Raw genomic sequence first — 25,245 nt, forward strand, 5'->3', positions numbered from 1 at the left:
AGAGCTATCCCTGGGCTGTGTTATTTCAGCAGTACCATGGCATGTGATGAGCTAGCGAGGAAAGAAGTTGAAATGGCTCCAAGAAACCAGGTAAGTTTTGTGATGAGGGCTTCCATGCACCACACTAGGCAACACTACTCACACCACAGTCTACATGGATGACACTTCTGAGTTGTGCAGTACCCAGCATGAGTAGTCCTAAGTGATGGGCCCACTGTGGATCAGCTGAGGCTGGGCCTGCAGGGCAGAGTTACATCCTGTGGCCAGTTGATAGAAGATAAATAATGCTAATAATAATGACTATGACTAGCAACAGAACCTCCAATGTGCCACACACTCTATTTTTCAGAGACGGGGTCTTACTCTGTTGCCCAGGTTGGTCTTAGACTCAAGCCTTGAATTCAAGCAATCCTCCCACCTCAGCCTCCTGCATAGTTGGGATTACAGGCATGCGCTACCACGCTCAGCTGAAACATTCTACACCTTTAGGTGTTTGATATGTATCATATTGTGTCTGGAATTGGTGGGTTCTTGGTCTCACTGACTTCAAGAATGAAGCTGTGGACCCTTGCGGTGAGTGTTACAGCTCTTAAGGTGGCGCGTCTGGAGTTTGTTCCTCCTGATGTTCAGATGTGTTCGGAGTTTCTTCCTTCTGGTGGGTTCTTGGTCTGGCTGGCTCAGGAGTGAAGCTGCAGACCTTCGCAGTGAGTGTTACAGCTCTTACCACGGCGCGTCTGGAATTGTTCGTTCCTCCCGGTGGGTTCTTGGTCTTGCTGGCTTCAGGAGTGAAGCTGCAGACCTTCGCGGTGAGTGTTACAGCTCATAAAAGCAGTGTGGACCCAAAAAGTGAGCAGTAGCAAGATTTATCGCAAAGAGCGAAAGAACAAAGCTTCTACAACGTGGAAAGGGACCCGAGCAGGTTGCCACCGCTCGCTTGGGCAGCCTGCTTTTATTCTCTTATCTGGCCCCACCCACATCCTGCTGATTGGTAGAGCCCAGTGGTCTGTTTTGACAGGGCGCTGATTGGTGCGTTTACAATCCCTGAGCTAGATCCAAAGGTTCTCCACATCCCCATCAGGTTAGTTAGATACAGAGTATCGACACAAAGGTTGTCCAAGGCCCCACCAGAGCAGCTAGATACAGAGTGTGGATTGGTGCATTCACAAACCCTGAGCTAGACACAGGGTGCTGATTGGTGTGTTTACAAACCTTGAGCTAGATACAGAGTGCCGATTGGTGTATTTACAATCCCTGAGCTAGACATAAAAGTTCTTCAAGGCCCCACCAGACTCAGGAGCCCAGCTGGCTTCACCCAATGGATCCCGCACCAGGGCTGCAGGTGGAGCTGCCTGCCAGTCCCGCGCCATACACCTGCACTCCTCAGCCCTTGGGTGGTCAATGGGACTGGGCGCCGTGGAGCAGGGGGCAGCGCTCGTCGGGGAGGCTCGGGCTGCACAGGAGCCCACGGAGGCGGGGGAAGGCTCAGGCATGGCGGGCTGCATTCCCGAGGCCTGCCCCGCGGGAAGGCAGCTAAGGCCCGGCGAGAAATCGAGCGCAGCGCCGGTGGGCTGGCACTGCTGGGGGACCCAGTACACCCTCCGTAGCTGCTGGCCCGGGTGCTAAGTCCCTCATTGCCCGGGGCGGCAGGGCAGGCCAGCTGCTCCGAGTGCGGGGCCCGCCAAGCCCACGCCCACTCGGAACTCCAGCTGGCCCGCAAGCGCCACATGCAGCCCCGGTTCCCGCTCGCGCCTCTCTCTCCACACCTCCCTGCAAGCTGAGGGAGTGGGCTCCGGCCTTGGCCAGCCCAGAAAGGGGCTCCCACAGTGCAGCGGTGGGCTGAAGGGCTCCTCAAGTGCCACCAAAGTGGGAGCCCAGGCAGAGGACGTGCCCAGAGCGAGCGAGGGCTGTGAGGACTGCCAGCACACCGTCACCTCTCAATATCATTGGAGTTTTCCAACAGCCTATGTGGGAAGTGTTAGTATTATCATCTCATCATCCCATTTTACAGAAGAGAAAAGGCCAACACAGAAAATTTCATTAACTTGTTCAAAGTTTCACAGATAGTAACTGGCAGAGCAAGGGCCCACACCCCGGCGCTCTGAGTTGAAGGTCTGTGTGTCTAACCACCTTCCATGCTGCCTCCAGGGAAATGAGGCAGATATTTAAGGCTCCCAATATATATCTTTTCTTTTCTGGTGAAATCCTCCTGGCTCATTCAAGCTAAGGAAAATGGTAGAGTGTAGTGGTTAAGACCTAGGTATGTCCCTTGAAAATGGTGTGGCTGCAGCAAGTAACTTACCTTCCCTGAGCCCTGGTTCCCTCCTCTGTCTCTTGAAGCTAGTGCTTCTTCCCTCATGGCATGTGGTGAGGAGTTACAGTGGGCTGGCACACACATAGGAAACACTCAATATGTGGTAGTTATGGAGAGGCGTAAGGGTAGGGCAGTAAACCCTAAGGGGTCAATCGGCTTTCAACAACAGTCTCTTATTGGGGCAAAAAGAACTACGGGCTGAACCACACTTTTTCTTTTCTTTTCTTTTCTTTTTTTTTTGAGACCAAGTTTCACTCTTGCCACCCAGGCTCGGGTGCAATGGTGCGATCTCGGCTCACTGCAACCTCCACCTCCTGGGTTCAAGAGATTCTTCTGCCTCAGCCTCCCGCATAGCTGGGATTACAGGGGCACACCACTGTGCCCGGCTAATTTTTGTATTTTTAGTAGAGAAGGTGTTTCTCCATGTTGGCCAACCTGGTCTCAAGCTCCTGACCTCAGGTGATCCGCCTGCCTCAGCCTCCCAAAGTGCTGGGATTACAGGCTTGAGCCACCGCACCCAGCCTGTTGTTTTGTTCTGTTTTGAGACAGGGTCTCGCTCCATCTCACTCCTGGGTAGCTGGGATTACATTCAGGCATATGCCTGTAAAGATGGGTCTTCATCTTTAAAATGAGGACCCTGATTTTTTTTTTTTTTGAGATGGAGTTTCGCTCTTGTTGCCTGGGCTGGAGTGCAATGGCAGAATCTCGCCTCACCGCAACCTCTGCCTCCCGGGTTCAAGCGATTCTCCTGCCTCAGCCTCCCGAGTAGCTGGGATTATAGGCATGCGCCACCACGCCTGACTAATTTTGTATTTTTAGTAGAGATGGGGTTTTTCCATGTTGGTCAGGCTGGTCTCAAACTCCCGACCTCAGGTGATCCACCGGCCTCGGCCTCCCAAAGTGCTGGGATTACAGGTGTGAGCCATCGCACCAGGCCGAGGACCCTGATTTTAAGAGGGTCAGCAGCAGATCTGCTCCACCAGGAAGAGAAGGAATGGGGACTAGCACCTATTGAGCCGCTGATATGTCCGACACTCTTTTTTAAAAAATGTAATGTAATGTAATTTTTTTTAGAGACTAATTTTGTTTTTAGTTGCCCAGGCTATAGTGCAGTGGCACAATCACAGCTTACTGCAGCCTTGACCTCCTGGGCTCAAGCAATCCTCCCACCTCAGACTACTGAGTAGCTGGGACTACTGGCATGCACCATCATACCAGGCTAAATTTTTGATTTTTTGTAGAGACAGTGTCTCACTATGATGCCCAGGCTTGTCTTAAACTCCTGGGCTTAAGTAATCCTCCCACCTCGGCCTCCCAAAGTGCTGGGATTACAGGCATGAGCCACCACAACAGGCTGTTAAGGTTTCTAACCAAAGTGTACCTGTAACTGGTACATTTCAGAGATTAAGAGTGTGGTTTTGACCAACAAATCCTGTTGTCTGTGACATGCCTCCCCCGGGCGCCGTCAGCCTGGTCATCTGGTTCGGGCTGCCTGTGCTCCTTACCTGCGTGGGTACTCTGGCTCCAGCCTGCTGGCTACTTCCAGGGCCCCACCCAAGCCTGGAGCACTGGCCTCAACCCTGGTGTGTGGCTCCAGCTTGGCATTCTTGAAGCTGAGCAGGACTTGACCTCAGTAACCCAGTGGCCGAGCTTAGCAAACAGGCTCTAGGTCTCTGCTCTCCTCGAACCTCCAGCTTCTGCGTATTCCTGGATCTGGGTGGACCCTTCCACTTGCTTTCTCCTTTAATTGTTAGTCTTTGCCTTGGCTGAAGCCTGGTCTTGCTCGTTAGTCCTAAAGGGGCTCTTTTCTAGGGCACTTGTGGTAGCCTGAGTTCTCTAGAAAAAAGCAGAGGTAAAACTTACGCGCGAATTCTTTATTGACAGACACAATCCTAGGGCAGCAGGAATGAGCAGAGGGACTGGAGGCCAGGAAGGAAGGAAAGCAAGCACAGAGTAGGGTATTTCTTTTTCTTTTAAACTTTTTTTTTTTTTTTTTTTTGACAGAGTTTTTGCTCTATTGCCCAGGCTGGAGTGCAATGGTGCCATCTTGGCTCACTGCAACCTCCACCTTCTGAGTTCACGTGATTCTTCTGCCTCAGCCTCCCAAATAGCTGGAATTACAGGCGTCTGCTACCACGCCTGGCTAATTTTTGTATTTTGAGTAGAGACAAGGTTTCACCATGTTGCCCAGGCTGGTCTCGAACTCCTGACCTCAGGTGATCCACCTGCCTCAGCCTCCCAAAATGCTAGGATTACAGGTGTGAGCCACCACACCCAGGTTATTTTAAATTTTTTTTTAGAGATGGGTTTCCCCCTGTCGCCCAGGCTGGAAGGCAGTGGTGCAATCAGAGCTCACTGCAGCCCTGAACTCCTGGGCTCAAGTGATCCTCCCGCTTCAACCTCCTGAGTAGCTGAGACTACAGCCTTGGACTCAAGCAATCCTCCCAGGTGCAGGCCACCACAACTGGCTTTTAAAAATTTTTTTATAGCTGGGCATGGTGGTTCACGCCTGTAATCCCAGCACTTTGGGAGGCCGAGGCAGGTGGATCACGAGGTCGGGAGTTCAAGACCAGCCTGGCCAAGATGGTAAAACCTCGTCTCTACTAAAAATACAAAAATTAGCTGGGCGTGGTGGCGGTCGCCTGTAATCCCAGCTACTCAGGAGGCTGAGGCAGAGAATTGCTTGAACCCAGGAGGCAGAGGTTGCAGTGAGCCGAGATCAGGCCACTGCACTCTAGCCTGGGTGACAGGCCGAGACTCCGTCTCAAAAAAAAAATTTTTTTTTGTAGAGATGGGGGGGTCTCACTATGTCATCCAGGCTGGTCTCAAACTCCCGGCCTCAAGTGATCCTCCCACCTCAGCCTCCCAAAGCTCTGGGATTACAGGCATGAGCCACTGCGCCCTGCCAGCCCTACCTTCCTGAGAAACCCAGTGAGCCATTTGGTCAGACAGGACAACCTGCGCCAAACTGTTGAAGGGAAAAAGAAGAAGGAATGTTTCTGCCAGCTCTGTCTTGTCTCCTATATCTCACTGGTTAAAACTCCCCCTCACCCTGGGTCAGGTGTCATGCCTCATAGGACTTCCTCTGAGTCCAGGTTTTAGGAGTTCAGGCCTGATAGAGGCAGCTCAGGAGCAAGCCCTCCCCTCAGGGAAGGCACAGACAGCTCATGCAGTCAGAGATGAAGTGATGGTGGCAGCAGGCAAGACTGTCCATGCAGCAAGCAGCCCTGGGCCCGGGAGGCAGGTGGAGCCAGGAAGAACGGGAAAGACCCATCAGTCAGGTCTCTGACAGCCCCTACTTCCAACAACTCCGGCCTGAGCAGTATGTCATAGAAGCCTAAGCCTCAGATCTGGCCCTCCCAACTGTGCTAGGCTGACCAGTGTCCCCCAAAATTCACGTCCACCCAGAACCTCAGGATGTGACCTTATTTGGAAATAGGGTCTTTGTAGACATAGTTCGTTGAAAGGGGATTATACTGGATTAGGGTGGGCCCTACGTCCAAAATGACTGGTGTCCTCATAAGAAGAGAGGACACAGGTCAGGCACGGTGGCTCATGCCTGTAATTCCAGCACTTTGGGAGGCTGAGGCGGGCAGATCACGAGGTCAGGAGATAGAGACCATCCTGGTAAATGCAGTGAAACCCCGTGTCTACTAAAAATACAAAACCAAAATTAGTTGGGCGTGGTGGCGGGTGCCTGTAGTCCCAGCTACTCCGGAGGCTGAGGCGGGAGAATGGCGTGAACCCAGGAGGTGGAGCTTGCAATGAGCTGAGATTGCGCCACTGCACTCCAGCCTGGGTGACAGAACGAGACTCTGTCTCAAAAAATAAAAAAGAAAAGACACAGAGACACACACACACAAACACACAGACACACACACATACACACAGATACATACACAATCACACACACAGACACATACACAATCACACGCACAGATACACAAACACACACAGGGAAGATGGCCATATGATGATGGAGGGGGAATTTGGAGTGATGCATCTACAAGCCAAGGAATGCCAGCGATTTCCAGGAGCCACCAGAAGCTGGAAGAGGCAAGGCAGGATTCTCCCCTAGAAACTTCAGGGGGAGCATGGACCTGCAGACACTTTGATCTTAGACTTCTGGCCTCCAGAATTATGAACGAATAGACTTCTGTTACCTTAAGCCACCCAGTTTGTGGTAGTTTGTTACAGCAGTCCAAGGAAACGAATGCTTTTCCAACTGTAAAAGCTGATCCTTTGCAGAAAATTTGCAGCTCTTAGTATCATAGCTGATAATAACAATAAGAGCACTGGTTGAGGGCTTACATGCCAGCCTCTGTTCTTAGTATTTACAGGTAGTGACTGATCCCGTCCTTACAGTAACACCCCAGGGTCCTCATTTTAAAGATAAAGACTCAGAGGGATGGTGTGTACAACCACGCCGACTGACTCCACCAGGAAGGGAAAGGATGGGGACTAAAATTTATTGAGCTGCTATGTCCCAGGCTCTTTTCTTTTTAAAATTTAATTTAATATAAATTAAATTTCTTTTTTTAGGCTCGGGGTCTCATTCTGTCACCCAGGCTGAAGTGCAGTGGTGAAATTATGGCTCATCGTAACCCCGAACTCTGGGGCTCAAGTGATCCTCTCACTTCAGCTTCCCAAGTAGCTAGGGCTACAGGTGTGCACCACCATGCCCAGCTAATTTATTTTTATTTTTTGTAGAGATAGGGGCTACTGCTCTGTTGCCCAGGCTGGTCTTGAACTACTGGCCTCAAGTGATCCTCCTTTCTCAGCCTTCTGAGCAGCTGGGACTACAGGCACACACCACCATGCATGGCTAATTTTAAAACTGTTTCTTTGTAGAGATGGGGTCTTGCTATGTTGCCCAGTCTAGTCTCAAACTCCAGGGGTCAAACAATCCTCTTGCCTTGGCCTGCCAAAGCACTGGGATTACAGGTATAAGCCACTGTGCCCGGCCGCAGGCTCCTAATGTTTCACTTACATTGATGGTAGGGAGAAAAAAGTTGTTTTTCTGAAAGCTGGAGACAGAATTCCTCTTGGGGAGATGTTATATTGGGTTTAGGCCCCTTTGGGAAGAAAGGTGCAGCTCCTCTTCTCCCTTCACTCCCCTTGCTTGAAAAGCAAGAGGAGTGGATTTGGACTGTGAGGGGCAGATGTCTTGACAGAGAAGGGATGACGACTGAGAGGCAAAGGGAACTTAGTGGCTTGAGGGAAGGCTAGTGTGCGCTTGAAGAGAAGGGTAGACTGTGCTGGGAATGGCTGAGGAATTGTGAAGAACAAGGATATAACATATTGATTCTGATTTTTTTCTTTGTGCTTCCCTGAATTATAATTTTCCTCCGTAGTCTTGAACCCTCAGAAGACATCTGAGCCACCATGGCTGGCCTTTCTGGGGAGGGCAGGCATGGGGCCATGGCCTCAGCAGGGCAGACAGTTCTTGAAAGTGGGCAGCACAGAGAAGATCTGAGATGAAAGCAGTGATCCGTGGAAGAATAGATGTTGTCAGAGGAGACAAGGAGAAATGGCAGTCCTGTGAGAACCCTTAAGATAAGAGGAGGCTGCTGTATTTCTCCCTGCCAGAGGAATGGGAGTTTGTATCACTTTTATTTAATGGTAAAGGACTGGGTGACCCTAGCAGCTTGGAAGATTTGGGGTTAAACAGACATCTGAAATCAGGTTAAGACATCTGATTCTTCAGTTACGCATTTGCTCCTTTGATCTTTACAACAATCACATGAAAGAGTCCTTGCCCCCCACTCAGCACTCCATGCGGACGCGGTCTTTGTCTCTTTCATCACTGTTGTGTTCTCAGCACCTAGAACACTCCATGACTCAGAGAAGGTGCTCGGTAAATATTTGTTACATTAATGAAAGAATTATCCCTATTTTACAAATGAGGAAACTGAAGCATGGGAATGTAAATAACTTTCCCATAGTCACACAGATCAAGTTGGTTTTGACCTCAAAATGTACACTTTCTTCTACAAAGGACCCCTTGTACCTCTGGGGTTCTCAGTGGAGGTTTGAAAAATTTTATTGATTCTTCTGCAAAATCTTGTTGAAGCACCAAGTTAGGGAAAGTGGTAAAGAGTAGAAGTGCCTACATGAGAAAATGGATTCCTAGGCTGATTTTTTTTTTTTTTTTTTTTTTTGAGACGGAGTTTCACTTTTGTTGCCCAGTCTGGAGTACGATGGTGCGATCTCAGTTCACTGCAACTTCCGCCTCCCACATTCAAGTGATTCTCCTGCCTCGGCCACCCAAGTAGCTGGGATTGCAGGCATGCGCCACCACACCCAGTTAATTTTTGTAGTTTTAGTAGAGACAGGGTTTTGCTGTGTTGGTCAGGCTGGTCTCGAACTCCTGACCTCAGGTGATCCACCCACCTCGGCCTCCCAAAGTGTTGGGATTACAGGCGTGAGCCACCGCGCCCAGCCCTAGGCTGATTTTTGAAGGAGAAAAATCTCTGAGGCACACACACTTATGTGACTAAATCTCTTCTGGGCCTGTCAGTGTTTGTTAGTGTGGGTAAAACTCCAGCTCACCAGAAGCACTTCTAGCACATTTTAAGAAATGTTTTAAATGTTATCTTCTGACTTAAATTAACAAAAAGTATAACCCTCCTCCAATTATCCATAATTCTTCTACCTTCACCCAAAATAATCATGGTTAATATTTAGGTATATTTTCTTAGAGTTTTTTCTATTTAGTATTTTTTTAAGAGAATTGGCTATCTATATAGACAAGTTCACAATATTTATCATAAACATATTTCCCAGTATCATTAAAAAATTGTCAACAAATGTAAAGTTTAATGGCTTTATAATAGTTCACTATATAGTTCTTTCCAAAGTTATGTAGTCACTATTATGGTCTCAATGTCTGTGTGTCCCCAAAATTTATATATTTAAACCTAATCTGCAACGCAATAGTATTAGAAGGTGGGGACTTTGGGGGATAATTAGGTCGTGAGGGTGGAGCTCTCATGCATGGAATTTGTGCTCTCAAAAAGACTCCTTTCCCCTTCCACCACGTGAGGACACAGTGGAGAAGGCATCATCTATGAACCAGAGAGCCCTCGCCAGATGCTCTGTCTGCCATGCCCTTGATCTTGGACTTCCCAGCCTCCAGAACTGTGAGCAGTAGATTTCTATGGTTTATAAGCTACCCAATTTGTGATATTTTTGCTATAGCAGCCTGAAAAGACTAAGGAATCACAATAGTCTTTTAAAGCAATTAAAGAGATTGTCTGGGACAGCCTGGGCAACATAGTGAAACCCCACCTTTACAAAAAATATTTTAAAAATAGCTGGGTATGTTAGGGTGGACCTGGAGTCCCAGCTACTCAACAGATTGAGGTGGGAGGATCACCCGAGCTTGGGAGGTCAAGGCTGCAGTGAGCCATGATTGTGCCACTGCACTCCAGCCTGGGTGACAAGAGTGAGACCCTGTCTTTAAAAAAAAAAAATGTGTCTGGGAACCAATGCTTAGATCATTCCCCCCAAAATAGATTTCTTCCAAAAGTCTGAGTAGCCCCTGTAGTCTAGGGTGATAGCATTAATAAAAGGACACCCCTATTTTTTTTTTGAGATGTGGGCCTCGTTCTGTCACCTAGGCTGTAGTGCAGTGGCACAAACATAGCTCACAGCAGCCTCGACCTCCCAGCATCAAGCGATCCTCCCACCTCAGCCCCCCAGTAGCTGGGACTACAGGTATGCACCACCACTCCTGGCTAATTCTTAATTTTTTTTTTTTTTTTTTTGGTAGAGACAGGATCTCCCTATGTTGCCCAGGCTAGTCTTGAACTCCTGGGCTCAAGTGATCCTCCTGCCTCTGCCTCCCAAAGTGCTGGGATTACGGGCATGAACCGCTCGCTGCACCTTGCTCAGAACATCCCTCTTGTTTTCATTTTAAATTTAACTATTTTAAATTAATTCCTGCCTTTGGAAACAAATAAACAAAACAACTAGCAAACTTCAAAGTATTACATGTATATATATATAAAAGAAAAAGCTCATTCCTCTCTCCCCAAATTTCCCTCCCTAGAGGTGACCTACTGCCCGTTTCTTGGGCCTTCTTCCAAAGATGTTCTGTGCATATGCAAACATGTATGTCATAGTCATCCCCAGTTTCTTTTCACACAATGATATCATACTCGGTACACTGTTCTCATCTTGCTTTGAGCACTTAATGGAGATAGACAGCGTGGTCTAGTGGTTAAGAGCACAAGGCTTGGGAGCCAGACTTCCTGGGTTTAAACTCGAGTACCACCATTAACTAGCCATGCATTTTTGGGCAAATGACCTCATTTCTTTGTGCTGCAATTTCCTTTTCTTGCATGGTGTTATGGGTTGAATTGTGCTTCCCAAAAAAGATATGTTAAAGTCCTTATCTTCTGTATCTTAGAAGGTAACTTTATTTGGAAATAGGGTCTTTGCAGAAGTAGTCAAATTAAAATGAGGTCATTAGGGTGAGCCCTAATCCAATATGACTGGTGTCCTTAGAAAAAGGGGAAATTTGGACCAGACACACAGACATGCACACTGGGAGAATACCATGTGAATACTGGATTTATGCTGCCACAAGACAAGGAACGTCTGCGGCTACTAGAAGCTAGATGAAGCAAGAAAGGATCCTTCGCCTTCAGGTCAGAGTGGGCGTGAGCCTGCCAACACCTTGATTTCTGACTCTAGCCTGTAGAACTGTGAGACAATATCTTTCTGTTGTTCTAAGCCACCCAGTTACCCAGTTTATTGTACTTTGTGACAGCAATCCTAGGAAACCAATATACATACATTAAATGAATTAGTATAGGCCCAGAATCTAAGACTATGCCTGATATTCATGAAATACTATATAAGTGTTAGCTATTCTTATTACATAGATATACATCATTCTTTTTTTTTTTTTCTTTTGAGACAGGGTCTTGCTCTGTCACCCAGGCTGCAGGGCAGTGATGTGATCTCAGTTCACTGCAACTCCTTCCTCGTGGGCTTAAGCAATCCTCCCATCTCTGCCTCCCAATTAGCTGGGGCTACAGGTGTGAGCCATCACGCCTGGCTAATTTTTCTATTTTTTGTAGAGAGGGGGTTTTGCCACATTGCCCAGGCTGTTCTCAAACTCCTGGGCTCAGGTGATCTGCTTGCCTCAGCCTCCCAAAATGCTAGGATTACAGGCATGAGCCACTGTGCCTGACCTGCCTCATTCTTTGTAACGACTGCATAATATTTTCTTTGTGGCTTTGGCAAAATTTATCACTTAAATAGTTTTGTTATTATCAAAATAATACATTGTTAAAAAAATGTAATACTACTAAAGGCTTGCAATGAAAAATAGCAGCGTCTTCCCCTACTCTTGTTCAATCCCCTAGTCTCACTTCCCAAAGGCAAGCGTTTGCAGTTACTCAGGTCCTCCTTCTGCTGTTTGTCTCTATCTTTCTAAATGCTGTGCTTACACTGCCACATCCTGATTTATCAGTTTCACAAACTCTCTTCTGTCTCCCTGTTATGATAGATGAGGATTTTGGTTTATGACACCCCACACCCTCCACACACACACACAGACACACACACCCTTTTGTCATCTTCACAGTATGATTATATAACTATTTTTAGTTATGTAATAGGTTGTTAAAATAGAATTTTAAACCTTTGAGATCCAACTGAGACTCTAAAGCTGAGAACAATAGGTGCAAAGGGCCCCTACATTCTACACAGAAATTCTAGACAATCCAGGTAGGGCTTGCAAATGAGGTGTCCCCAGAGTGACTCTTCCAGCCTTGGCCACTGACTACCTCTAGTCTATAAAAAAGAAGGCCAAGAATTAAGCAGGGGGCTGAAGGGCCAGTACTGGGGACTGCTCTGGAGAGAGTTATCAGAGTACTGCATTTCCTACCCCATCCTCAACATGCAGTGGGAGAAAGACTCCTCACATTCATCCTAAACTAGTGAGGGGGATTTCAAGAGCATCCTCAGAGAGTCAGACAGGCGTTTCCTGAAGTTTGGGAAGATAGTCACATACTCAGTATACTCACTGACTGACTCACACCTGAAAAAAAAAATGGTGTGTGAAAGCCAGGAGCTGGCTGGAGCAGACTGCCTCACAGCAGAACAGAGTCAAGGTTGACCAGCATTTCCAGGGGCTGCCGGGGTTTTCTATGGGTCTGATTGGATTCTGTGGTAAACAGCTGCCAATGGGTTGCTTTTGAAATTCTCCACCAGGCCGGCCGGGCTCGGTGGCTCACACCTGTAATTCCAGCAGTTTGGGAGGTCAAGGGGGGTGGATCACTTGAGGTCAGGAGTTCGAGACCAGCCAGGCCAACATGATGAAACCCAATTTCTACCAAAAATACAAAAATTAGGCTGGGTGCGGTGGCTCACACCTGTAATCCCAGCACTTTGGGAGGCTGAGGCGGGTGGATCATGAGGTCAAGAAATCAAGACCATCCTGGCCAACATGGTGAAGCCCCGTCTCTACGAAAAATACAAAAAGTAGCCGGGCGCGGCGGCATGTGCCTGTAGTCCCACCTACTCCAGAGGCTGAGGCAGGAGAATCGCTTGAACCTGGGAGGTGGAGGTTGCAGTGAGCTGAGATGGTGCCACTGCACTCCAGCCTAGTTAGTGACAGAGCAAGACTCCATCTCAAAAAACAAACAAACAAACAAAAAACAAAAATTAGCTGGGCATGGTGGCACATGCCTGTAATCCCAGCAAAACAAAACAAAACAAAAAATTAGCTGGGCATGGTGGCACACACCTGTAATCCCAGCTACTCAGGAGGCTGAGGCAGGAGAATCGCTTGAACCTGGGACGCAGAGGTTGCAGTGAGCCAAGATTGTGCCACTGCACCCCAGCCTGGGCGACAGAGAGAGACTCTGTCTCAACAAAAAACAACAACAACAACAGCAACAAAAAACCCACCGAACACTACCCTCTGGAAGGATGGAAAGTGACCCCAACCAAGAGTGAGCCACCAGAAGCCAGGCACCAAGGGGACAGTTGTCAGTGGCCAGCCCAATGAGGTGTCTCCCAGGTCAAGGGAAGTACATCTAAAACATCCCCAGTGATGAGCCTGCTCCCATGACTCACCCTTGGGCAGCTGATACACCAAGAGGGCACACATGCAGATGACAACCATGCAGGCCAAGAGCTCTCCTTTTCCTCACGTCTATCTTTTCCATGTCTGCCTCTAACCCTAGAGGAGCCAGAGGCAACACAGTGAGCAAGATGGGACATAGTGACATTGGCCCTGAACCGAGGGTTGCCAGGTTTAGCAAATAAAAATAACTCGATGCCCAGTTTAATTTGAATTTTAGATAAACAATAAATGCCTTTTTAGTATAAGTATATCCCATGCCATATTTGGGACATAATTATATTAAAAGTACTTGTTGCTTTCTTGAATTCACATTTAGCTGAGCATCCTATATTTTATTTGGCTGCCCTACTCATACTTCTTGCCCACTGCAAACTTCAAGCCTGTGTCAGGCCCAAGCTGCAGGAGAGAGCTATAAATTGGATAAGAGCTTGGTATTCTGATATTAGACTAAATTGGACTTTGGGTTACCTTGGGGGAAAAAGAGACTGTTCATTAATAACCCAAGAGTACTCAGAAAAGCTACAAAGATTGGTATTTTATCCATCGAGCTGAAAAGGTGAGATGGAAAGGTTTGTACTGGAACATCTCAAGTCCATTTTGTTCAGTAAGCTAGTTATAGGTATATTAAATTCATCATTTAGGGTATTAATATCACATAAATATTATCTGTTGCTGAGCCAAGTTGGGAATCAGATTGCATTTCTTATAAAACTTTTTATTTTTTCGGAGTTAACAATTGCCTGGTTTAAGCATTTTCCATTTTTAAAAGCCATTTGTGTTTCTTTTTCTGTGAACTGCTTATTCATGTCCTCTGTGGGGTTGTGGAGCTTTCTCTTACTAATTTATAAAAGTTTATTTATATACTAAAAATTAATGTAAAAGAAAGCTCTTTTATTAGGGAACTGGAAATTGCAAGTAAGATAGGATAAGTGGATCTTTTCTGACGTTTGTGTTGGGAAACTTAGATTTCACTGTGCCCAGCTGCTAATATCTAGAACTGCTCTTCCAAAACAAACTTTCTCAAATCAATAGTTTCTTTAAATATTCCTTTAATGCTTATGTGCTCATTTCTTGGTTAAAAATTTCCCAAGAAGAATGTGTACAATTAAGACACAGCTCATCAGCATTTTTCTCTTTTAAACATGATCATTCATCATTGGGACTTATTTCCATGAAATTAACCCATACCAGGAAAATAGCTGCAATGATCACCTCACTGATATTGTGAGAAATTTCTCTTGAGAAACTATTGCTATGTAGTATTGTTATAACAAGAGTCACAAAGATTAAAATCATGAATATTTTTTCTTACTCTGTTCATGGTTTTGTAATTCTGATCTGATAACAAATGTTATTGTAATGTTCCGTTTCTGATTAGAATATCAGGACCTTACTCTTTTCACTTGCTGGTGAGATTTAGTCTCTGAGGTTTCTCTATATAATGGGAATCGTATGATAAGGTAAATGTAACATTTTGGATTACTGCCACTGCATGTAAATTTTCACTGTAAATGATGGCAAACCACTCAGCTAATTTTTACATATGATTCTTTTTAAAGAATTCCTTAATTCTTGAGGGAAATAAAACATTCCAAAAACAAATACATTAAAATATGAATTCAGAAATGATTTGAGAGAACAATAGATAGGAAAATTGCATTTCAGATGAGCTGTCAGTCAAATCTCATATTTGTCGATAATTTCTCAGAAGGGTCCAGGGTGTGCTTCATTTCTAATTTTTATTTATAAATTCAGTTTTAAGATTGCATCGAGGCATGGTGATTCTCCTGTTTCATTATCTAATTTATTTATTTTTCTAGAATGAACAATATGTAGGAAGGGCTGGATTCCAGAATCCCATGGCCCTTGATTAAAAAATCTTTGCATGTCTTGCGGATGCCAGCTCTGTTTAGTCTTGGCAAAATCATCCTCAGCATATGTAATATCTTGCACTCCTGTTCTCCTTTTATCTCTACTCAGTGGGAAACTAGCTTTTTGGGCACCTCTATCTTGAAAATTGTCAAATGTTTCCTCCCTTTATTCCTCTGCAGGACACAAGTTTATCTATCAGGCCTGGCGTTTCTTTAACAGAGTGGTGATAAGATAAAAATCTGATCAGTGTACCAATCATTCAATCAATAAAATGTACTCCAGGATATCTAAGGCATTGTGGAGGAAGAATGTGGCTGTTTACTGAGGGATAGTCATATTCCTGGCACAATGTTAGGTGTTTTCACTGTGCAGTTAATTTTATTATTTTAGTGATGGGGTCTCACTCTGTCACCCAGGCTGGAGTGCAGTGGCACAAGCATCATAGCTCACTGAAAGCTAGAACCCCTGGGCTCAAGTGATCCACCTTCCCCAGCCTTCTGAGTAGCTGGGACTATGGGTGTGTACCACCACACCTGGCTAATTAAAAACAAATTTTTAAAAGAGATAGGGTATCTCTATGTTGCCCAGGCTGGTCTCTAACAGGCGGCCTCAAGTGATCCTCCCACTTCAGCCTCCCAAGTTGCTGGGATTACAGATACAAGCCACTGCACCGGCCATGTGTGCAATTTACTTGAACTCTTGAAACAATTTCCTCAAGGTAGATGAGGAATCTGAAGGTCAGAAAGTTGGAGTTACTTTGTGAAGGCCTCTAGCTGGTAAATGTCAGCATTTGTCCACTGCTCCCTGCCTCACACTCTCATACTCAGCTGCAGGCAGTTCTTCAGCTGGTCTCATCCAAGGGTCTCTGGTTAGTTTGAGACACAAAAGTAATCATACTTTGAATAACCTTCGTGCAAGTTTCATGCAGCTGATGAAAGTGATGTTGTAGAATTGCTAGAATCATAAGCAAACATGGAGTTAATCAGATAACAATTAAAGAGGAATAAATTGACAAGAATGAGAACATAATAGGATCTTCAAAAGAGAAGCATTTAACAATCATAGGTTAAGGGAGGCCATTGAGAAAAAACTAATACTTCAACATATTTGTCAAATGTGCTACTGGACAAGTTTTTAGAAAAAGTAGACCTCAAACCCTAAATCAACACTGACTTTGGTTTTTGTTCTAAATATTAGAACAGACTTACAATTACTATCTAAATTTTATTGTATATATAACAACATTGTTGTTATTATTATTATTATTGAGATGGAGTCTTGCTCTGTTGCCCAGGCTGGAGTACAGTGGCAACATCTCAGCTCACTGCAACCTCTGCCTACCAGGTTCAAGTGATTCTGGTGCCTCAGCCTCCTGAGTAGCTGGGACTACAGGTGCCTGCCACCATGCCCAGCTAATTTTTGTATTTTTAGTAGAGACAAGGTTTCACCATATTGGCCAGGCTGGTCTCGAACTTGTGACCTCAAATGATCTGCCTACCTTGGCCTCCCAAAGTGGTGGGATTACAGGCATGAGCCACCACACCCAGCCTACATAGAATATTATTCTGATCAATTTTTTCCATATCTTATATGAAATTTTTGTGTGGGAATCTGTTTGTCTCTTCCGGAGGCCAAAGAGTGACTGAGAGAACTCCTATTCTTTGTCATGCTGTTTTGTGCTTCTGAACCTGTGTCCATGGTGTTCCGATTGCCTGCAGGAACTTCTCTTATTCTGCAGGAAAACACTTCTTGGCTGCTCTCAACCTTCAATATCACCTCTTATGTGAGAGTTTCCTTTAACCTTTCCTGCCCATTAGCTGTCCTCCTACTGTGTTCCTGTAACACTTGGCGCACATCTCCATAGCCGCTCCCCTCTGCATGTAATGATTAGTTGACGTGTATCTTTCCCTCTGGGCTGTAACCACCTCTTCAAAAGCAAGCTTATCTCTCATCCACTCTGTCACCCAGACTGAGTTCAGTGGTGCAATCACGGGACTGCAGCCATGACCCCCAGGCTCAAGCCATCCTCCCACCTCAGCCTCCTGAGTAGCTGGGACTACCTGTATGCCACCATGCCTGCCTTATTTTTTTGTATTTTTTTAAAGATGGGGTTTTGCCATGTTGCCCAGTCTGGTCTTAAACATCTGGACTCAAGCCATCCACCCACCTCAGCCTCCTAGCTGAAATTACAGGAGTGAGACACCGTACTCAGCCTGTTTTTATTTTTTAAATTAAAAAAATTTTTTTTAGAGACAAGGTCTCACTGTGTCACTCAGATTAGACTGCAGTGGCACAATCAGGGCTTATCACAAAACCTTGAACTCCTGGGCTCAATTAATAACAATAATTATATTATTGTTTAATAATCTTTTAAGTTCCAACTGAAGTGCTACATATTCCACCCAGCCTTCCCATTTTCCTGCAGCTGCAACGAATCACTCAGAATGCTCAACCTTCACGTCTCAGGCCTTTTTTTTTTTTTTTTTTTGAGACAGGGTCTTGCTCTGTTGCCAAGTACATTTTATTGATTGAATGATCGGTACACTGATCAGATTTTTATCTTATCACCACTCTATGTTGGAGTGCAGTGGCACAATCTCGGCTCACTGCAGCCTCCACCTTCCAGGATCAAGAGATCCTCCCACTTCAGCCTCCTGAGTAGCTGCGACCACAGGCGTGCACCACCACACCTGGCTAATTTTTTGTATTTTTTTGTAGAGATGGGGGTCTGATGGGGGGGGGGGTCTCACTTTGTTGCCTGGGCTCAAGGGATCCTCCCACCTCAGCCTCCCAAAGTGCTGAGATTACAGGTGTGAGCCTCTGCACCTAGCCGGCTTCACATGCCTTTTAACTGTGGTTTTTACCTCCTGTCTAGATGACTGCTTCTTGAGTTCAGAGACATATTTAGTTCATCTCTGTGTCTTTCAGTGTCTTGCGTGTAGAAAGTGCTCAATAGACTTAATGCATTATTGGTCAGCTTTGGTTGTCTTAATGACCAATCCATCACCTCACAATTTACTGCCAAAGTTATATGTTTTATTCTGACATCTCTGATTTGGTTGGAGTTTCCACAGTGCCACAGCCTCTGCTTTCTTCACTGCAATGTCTGTGCATGCTGATGACAGATTAATAAAATTGGATGTCCCAGCCATTGAAATTCCCTTTTGCCTCCCTCCAACCCCCCGCATCAGAGTCTTATTCCCATTCAGTCTCATGACAGAATTTCACAGGTAACTCTGCTATCTGCAGCTCAAAGAAGCCACTCTTGGTGACAATGAGCTGACCATTAAAATGGGCTGTAAATCAAAAGGATAGCACAGCTATCCCAATTGTTGAGGATTTTAGAATGCTGCTTAGGTTATTGATAGGTTTATGTCCAAATGCACTCTAATTGAGGAATCTCTGATGAATTCATTCAACATTCTTTTAGCAAATATTTAGCACCTATTGTCTGCCACAAGCCATGCCACAGCTAGAGATGGACCAGGAGACATGACAGACACAGTTCCTGTCATCATAAAGCTTAGTTTAGTGGGGATAAGAAGATGCAGAATGTAGGTGCTGGGAATTATAACTGAAAAGGGCAGGGTGCTCTGGGAGGATGTTGGAGAGGTCCTTACCAGTGACAGAGGCAAGACAAGGAAATGATCGTGAAGCTAAGACTAGAGTAGAAATTAAGTAGGTGTGTGTGTTTGGGGCATGGGGGTGGGGATTGGTTTGACAAGAGAGTCCCAAGAAGAGTGACCGTGAGTGGGGATAACATGAAGGGGCACACAAGATGCTCTGGAAGAAGTACACCATGCCCTGAGATGGCTCTAATTCTGCAAAGAAATTCATGATTATTTGCATTGTGCCTGTATGGAAAAACAAAAGAATATAATCTAAATGTGAATTAAGCACCAGAAGAAATAGCCTCTTCTGGTTATACTAGGTCAGGATAATGAGAAGAGATGATGTGTCCACAGGTTTCCTATTAATTTCTTATTTTCAGTATTTATTCATTTCACACTTATCACATGTCAAGTGGTGGTAAGAATTCTATCAAGAAACTCATTGAGTGCCCCAAATAGACTAGAGGTGTTACATAATGAATGGAAGTTCGTGATCTTTCTATCTTCAGAAGATTTTTGTTCCAATAGAACTCACATCTTATTGATAGACATAGTAATTATGAGTAGAATATCAGATTTTGGTTTCCAGTGCAGTGTGTCCAAAATGTGACATTTCAGAAGCCCTAGTAGTTCATATTAAAAATGTATATCCATTACCCCCCTTCAGCTACCCAGTTGTGGGAGGCGAGGGCTTGGGTGCATTGAAGATTCAGCTGCCGTGGCTGAGGGGGGCATTGCTATTGGAGGCATCGTGGGCATTAATACTGCTTTACAAGAGGTGCTGACCACTCTCATCCATAATGGCCTAGCATATGTAATTCTGAAAGCTGTCTGTCTTAGACAAGTGCCACGTCCACCTCTGTGTGCTTGCATCCCACCGTGATGGCCTGTGGATTTCAAGCTGGTGGAGGCCCTCCGTGCTGAACACCAAATCCACCCAAATAAGCTGATGACATCAAGAAACTGAGACTGGGTAGGCCTTGGTGAAATTGACAGAGAGGGAAAGCCCAGTAATGTGGTTGGTTGCAGTTCTGGTGTAGTTAAGGGCTATGGCAAATAATCTAAGGCCAAGAATGTCATCAAAGAGTACTGTACTTCCAAAGCAAGAGATAAGCAAATAAAAACTTGGCTCTTGTTTTTGTTTAAAAAAAGCAGGCTGGGTGCAATGGTTCATGCCTATAACCCTAGCACTTTGGGAGGGCCAGGTAGGCAGATCACTTGAGCCTAGGAGTTGGAAACCAGCCTGATCAACATGATGAAACCCCATTTTTACAAAAAAAATACAAAAAAATTTAGTCGGGCATGGTGGTGTGTGCCTGTAGTCCTAGCTACTCGGGAGGCTGAGGTGGGAGGATAGATTGAGCACGGGAGGCGAAGGATGCAGTCAGCCGAGATTGTGCCACTCCATTCCAGGCTGGGTGACAGAATGAAACCATGTCTTTAAAATAATAATAATAATAAAGCATATTCACAAGCCTGCCATGGACCTACTTAATCAGAATGCCCATCATGGGATCTACAGGACTAGCAACTCTCTGGGGGTTCTATTGCACGCTTAACTTTGAGAACCTCCACGCTATTAAAGGGCCTCTAAGTGCTTCATGGCAGCCTGGAGCCAAGCTGGCTACATAAGAACTGCCTGGGGTTTTGTTTCTAATTATTAACTAAACTCTATACTTTATTTGGATTTCACTAGTTTTTCTACTAATATTCTTTTCTCATTCCAGGATCCCATCTGGAGTACCATATCACATCTAGTCATCATGTCTGTTTGGTCTCCTCTGGTCTGTGACAGTTTTGTGGAGTTTTCTTGTTTTTCATAGCCTTGATCGTTTTTGTTTTGTTTTGTTTTTGTTTTTGTTTTGTTTTGTTTTGTCACCCAGGCTGAAGTACAATGGAGCGATCTTGGCTCACTGCAATCTCTGCCTCCCAGGTTCAAGTGATTCTCCTGCCTCAGTGTTCCCCGTAGCTGGGACTACAGGCATGCGCCACCACGCCCAGCTAATTTTTTGTATTTTTAGTAGAGATGGGGTTTTGCCATGTTGACCAGGCTGGTCTCGAACTCCTGACCTCCGGTGATCTACCCGCCTTGGCCTCCCGAAGTGCTGGGATTACAGGCGTGAGCCACTGCACCTGGCCCTTGATAGTTTTGAAAAGTACTTTTTGGGTATCTTGTACAATGTCCTTCAATTTGGGTTTATCTGATGTTTTTCTCATGATCAGACTGAGGTTATGGATTTAGGGAAGAATACTGCAAAGGTGAAGTAGCCTTCTTATCACGTCATATCAAAGATAGACACTATCAGCATAACTTACCAACTTTGATTGCCAATCTTTGGCTACCTGGCCAGGGAAAGGATTGCCAGTTTTCTCCACTCTAAAATCATTCCCCCAGCAATCCCCTCCCACAGCACTGTATTCTTTGGAAGAGAGTCACAAAGTGAAACCCACAGTCAAGGTGAAGGTGGGAATTAAGCCTTCCTTTCTGGAGAAGGGAATGTCTACATAAAGTGTTTGGAATTCTTGGAATTCTTCTGTAAGGGAGATGTGCCTCTTCTTCCCCCTTTATTTATTCAGTCATTTATGTATACCAATATGGGCTCACAGATGTTTATTTTATATTCTGGGTTATAATTCACCACTATGTTATTTATTTTATTGCTCGAAATGTCCAGCTTTGGCCATGGAAAACTCTTTCAGATTGGCTCCTGTGTCCCTTGAACGTACCCTGTCCTTTTGGTTTTGTGATGCTTCGTTCTTTTTGGCACTATAAGATGCTCCGGGATCATCTTGTATATTCCCTGTCCCAGTCCTAGAATCAACCATTTCCCCAAGTGGAGTTTTTTTTTTTTTTTTTTTTTTTTAACAAACATATTTTTGCCTCTTACTCCCAGAGGGTCTAGAAAAACCCAAGAATATGATTTTAAATTATTATTATTCAATGAAATAACACATGCTCATGGTAAAAATAAATTCAAACAATGCAAAGGTACTATCAATGGTAAAAGTAAGAGCGTGTCAGTCTTCCTGCTCAAAGGCAACCTATTGCCATAAATGGTCTACACATATTTCTGAATACATATATATGTACATATGTCCATATCACCCATATTTTCACAGAAATGAAAGTACTCTACCAACACTGTATTGAACCTTGTTTTCACTTAACAACACATCCTGGAGATTGTTATATGATCACAGATCAACATTGTCTTAGTCTGTTTGTCCTGCTATAACAAAATACCCAAGACTGGGTAATTTTTTTTTTTTTTTTTTGAGATAGAGTCTCGCTCTGTTGCCCAGGCTGGAGTGCAGTGGCATGATCTCAGCTCACTGCAGCCTCTGCCTCCCGGGTTCAAGTGATTCTCCTGCCTCAGCCTCCTGAGTAGCTGGGACTACAGGCGTGCACCACCACACTCAGCTAATTTTTGTATTTTTAGTAGAGATGGGGTTTCACCATGTTGGCCAGGTTGGTCTCGATTTCTTGACCTGGTGATCCGCCCACCTCGGCCTCCCAAAGTGCTGGGATTACAGGCATGAGCCACTGTGCCTGGCCAGACTGGGTAATTTATAAAGAACAGACATTTATTTTCTCACAGTTCTGGAGACTGAGAAGTCCAAGATCAAAGCACCAGCAGGCTGAGTGTCTGGTGAAGGCTTCTCTCCACTTCCAAGATGGTGCCTTGTTGCTGTGTCCCAACATGGAAGAGCAGAAGAGAACAAATCCACTTTCCCAAGCCCTTCTACAAGGGCCCAAGTCCCATCCATGAGAGGGGTGTGTTCTCATGACCTCCTAGAGGCCCCACCTTTTTTTTTTTTTTAGATGGAGTCTCACTCTGTCCCCAGGCTGGAGTGCAGTGGCATTATCTCAGTTCACTGCAACCTCCACCTTCCAGGTTCAAGCGATTCTCCTGCCTCAGCCTCCTTAGCAGCTGGGACTACAGGCATGAGCCACCACGCCCAGCTAATTTTTGTATTTTTAGTAGAGACAGGGTTTCACCATGTTGGCCAGGTTGGTCGTGATCTCTTGACTTCGTGATCCACCCGCCTTGGCCTCTGAAAATGCTAGGATTACAGGCATGAGCCACCATGCCCAGCCATGGCCCCACTTCTTAATACTATTACATGGGCCCTTAAATTTCAACACATGAATTTTAGGGAATACATTTAGACCATAGCAGACATCATTCTTTTCTGCAGTGGCATAGAGATTCAGTGGCTAGCCATGGTGTAGTTTATTTAACCCCTTGCTTGTTGATAAACATTTAGGTTGCGTATGGGTTGTGCCATTATGAGCAATGCTGCTATGAACTTCCTGTAGATGCATTTTTATACATGCATTAGGATATCACTGCAGTGAACTCAGAGCAGTGAAATCATTGGGTCAAATGGAACATGTCTGCAGCATTTTTTGTTTCATTTTGTTGTTTTTAGTCCTTTAGCTTTCTCTGACCAAGGTATATGCCTGTAGCATTTTTTGTTTTGTTTTGTTTTGTTGCTTTTATTCCTTTAGCTGTCTCTGACCAAGGAAGATGCCTGTAGCATTTTGATAGATATTGATGAGCTGCCATGCAAAAAGGTTATGTCAACATCCACTCCCACGTGGAGCATGTCCTTTCTCCACATTCTGTACAACACAGTGCACTGCTGAATTTTTTTAACTTTTGCCAATCTGGGAGGTGGAAAATGGTACCTCAACATTTTAAATGTCCATGACTTTAATAATGAGTGATAACAATTATATTTTTATCTGTTTACGAATATTTTGAATTTTTATGAGTATGTGAACTGCCTATTCATACCTTTTGTCCTTTTTCTTTATTGAATTAACAGGCTTTTCTTGTTGATTTGTAAGTACTCTTTATATATTAAGGAAACAAATATACCCTTGCCTTTTGTGTTGTACATATTTTTCAGAATATGCATTTTAAAAATGCTTCTCCTAGAGAGTGAAATAATAGACATTGGAGACTTGGAAAGGTGGGAGGGGGCGCAGAATGAGAAATTACATAATGGGCACAATGTACATTATTAGGGTCATGGTTACACAAAAGCCTAGACTTCACCACTATGCAATATATCCATGTCACAAAATTTGTGCCCCCTAAATCTATTTAAAAAAAATACATTTTTAAAAGTGTTTCCCAGGTGACTCTAATGACAGCCAGGTTGGGGAACCACTGCTAGGGAATGGCATATTAACCAGCGTTAATATGTCCCATGTGTGGGCCACCTCCAGCTGTAGGTAAAGGTAAGAGCTGCTGAGCAGGTGTGGTCTGAAGATTACAAAACTCCCTGTCTGAAATCTTCACAGCTACTTGAGTAGAGATTCCCAGCATTAAACCCACCTTTAAAGGGTAAGGCAGTGTTACCAGAGAGGTTAGCAGCACTGACCCCTTATTGTGCAGTGGCAGGACTGCTTCTCCTCCCATGTCCTTGAGTTTAGAGGATGACAGAGGGAGACTTTTGGCATAATACCATGAGACATAGCCACGGCCTTGTTAACGAGGCTGAGCGAAAGTTCTGATTCTCTTGTAAGCACCACATCCTGAGGGCAGACAAGGCGGAGGCCTCTCCTCCCCTTTTCTGTCTTTCACACCCCAGGTCCTGAAGCCTCATACTATCAAGATGCAAAGGAACAATGCACAGCTCAGCAGAAGAAAGGAACCAAAAGAGGGGCTGTGTGGGGAAAGGGGACAGGATAGAATGTCCAGGGCAAAAGGCTCTTCCTCCAAAGGGAAGGAGCTGCCACCTGGATGCCGGAGGGTCACAATGAAGCCCTTGTTAGTGAGAGAAACCCAAGAAGGGCAAGCTGCTGAGAGAGGAGCAGAGGAGCAACTCCAGACTCTTGGCCCCTTTGCGGTCTATCGGGTGGGAATGTTCAACTGTACGTGAAAGGGTTGTTTTATACATAACTCTGGACTCCATGTATGTTTCACTGGATAACTATAGGACCATCTGCTCCATCCCCTTCCTCCCATGATGATTGTGTAGAGAAGGTTGTCTTTGAGCCTACATTCTGGGATCAGACCCAAACTGAGGAATGAGGATATTTTAAATGAAATGCGTAGACCAGTGGTTCTCCAAGAGTGGTCATAGAACTGGCAGCATCAGCATCACCTGGGAACTGATTAGAGATGCAAATTCTGGGCCCTCACACCAGAGTGACAGAATTAGAAACTCAGGGTGGGGGTGCTAGCTGTCTAGGTTTTAATAAACCCTCCAGATGATTCTAAAGCTCGAGTTTGAGAACCACAGCTCTAGAAAGGAGTCACTGACGTCTGCCACGGCTTCCAAATTTAACAGAATGGAGCCTGTAAACAAAATGAAGGCAAGAGGAGGGCCAC

The 25,245-nt window shown here is 45.2% G+C and overlaps 1 long non-coding RNA gene and 1 pseudogene across 1 annotated transcript in view, besides 2 other annotated features; both read left to right on the plus strand.

Annotated features, from left to right (window-relative positions):
• LOC105375683 (uncharacterized) overlaps positions 1-25,245 on the plus strand; it is a 110,442-nt gene that overhangs the window by 71,800 nt on the left and 13,397 nt on the right. The window lies entirely within an intron of this gene.
• Positions 1,048-1,561: an enhancer, noted in NCBI's record as "H3K27ac-H3K4me1 hESC enhancer chr8:103497414-103497927 (GRCh37/hg19 assembly coordinates)". NCBI's record gives its function as "activates a minimal SCP1, AML or CMV promoter by ChIP-STARR-seq in naive H9 embryonic stem cells {active_cell/tissue: H9 hESC(naive)}" and the evidence as "EXISTENCE:reporter gene assay evidence [ECO:0000049][PMID:30033119]".
• RPS12P15 (ribosomal protein S12 pseudogene 15) lies at positions 19,617-20,000 on the plus strand (annotated as a pseudogene).
• Positions 22,469-22,969: an enhancer, noted in NCBI's record as "H3K27ac hESC enhancer chr8:103518835-103519335 (GRCh37/hg19 assembly coordinates)". NCBI's record gives its function as "activates a minimal SCP1, AML or CMV promoter by ChIP-STARR-seq in primed H9 embryonic stem cells {active_cell/tissue: H9 hESC(primed)}" and the evidence as "EXISTENCE:reporter gene assay evidence [ECO:0000049][PMID:30033119]".

The sequence above is a fragment of the Homo sapiens genome, chromosome 8 (assembly GCF_000001405.40).
Source record: "Homo sapiens chromosome 8, GRCh38.p14 Primary Assembly".
In the NCBI taxonomy this organism is placed as follows: domain Eukaryota; kingdom Metazoa; phylum Chordata; class Mammalia; order Primates; family Hominidae; genus Homo; species Homo sapiens.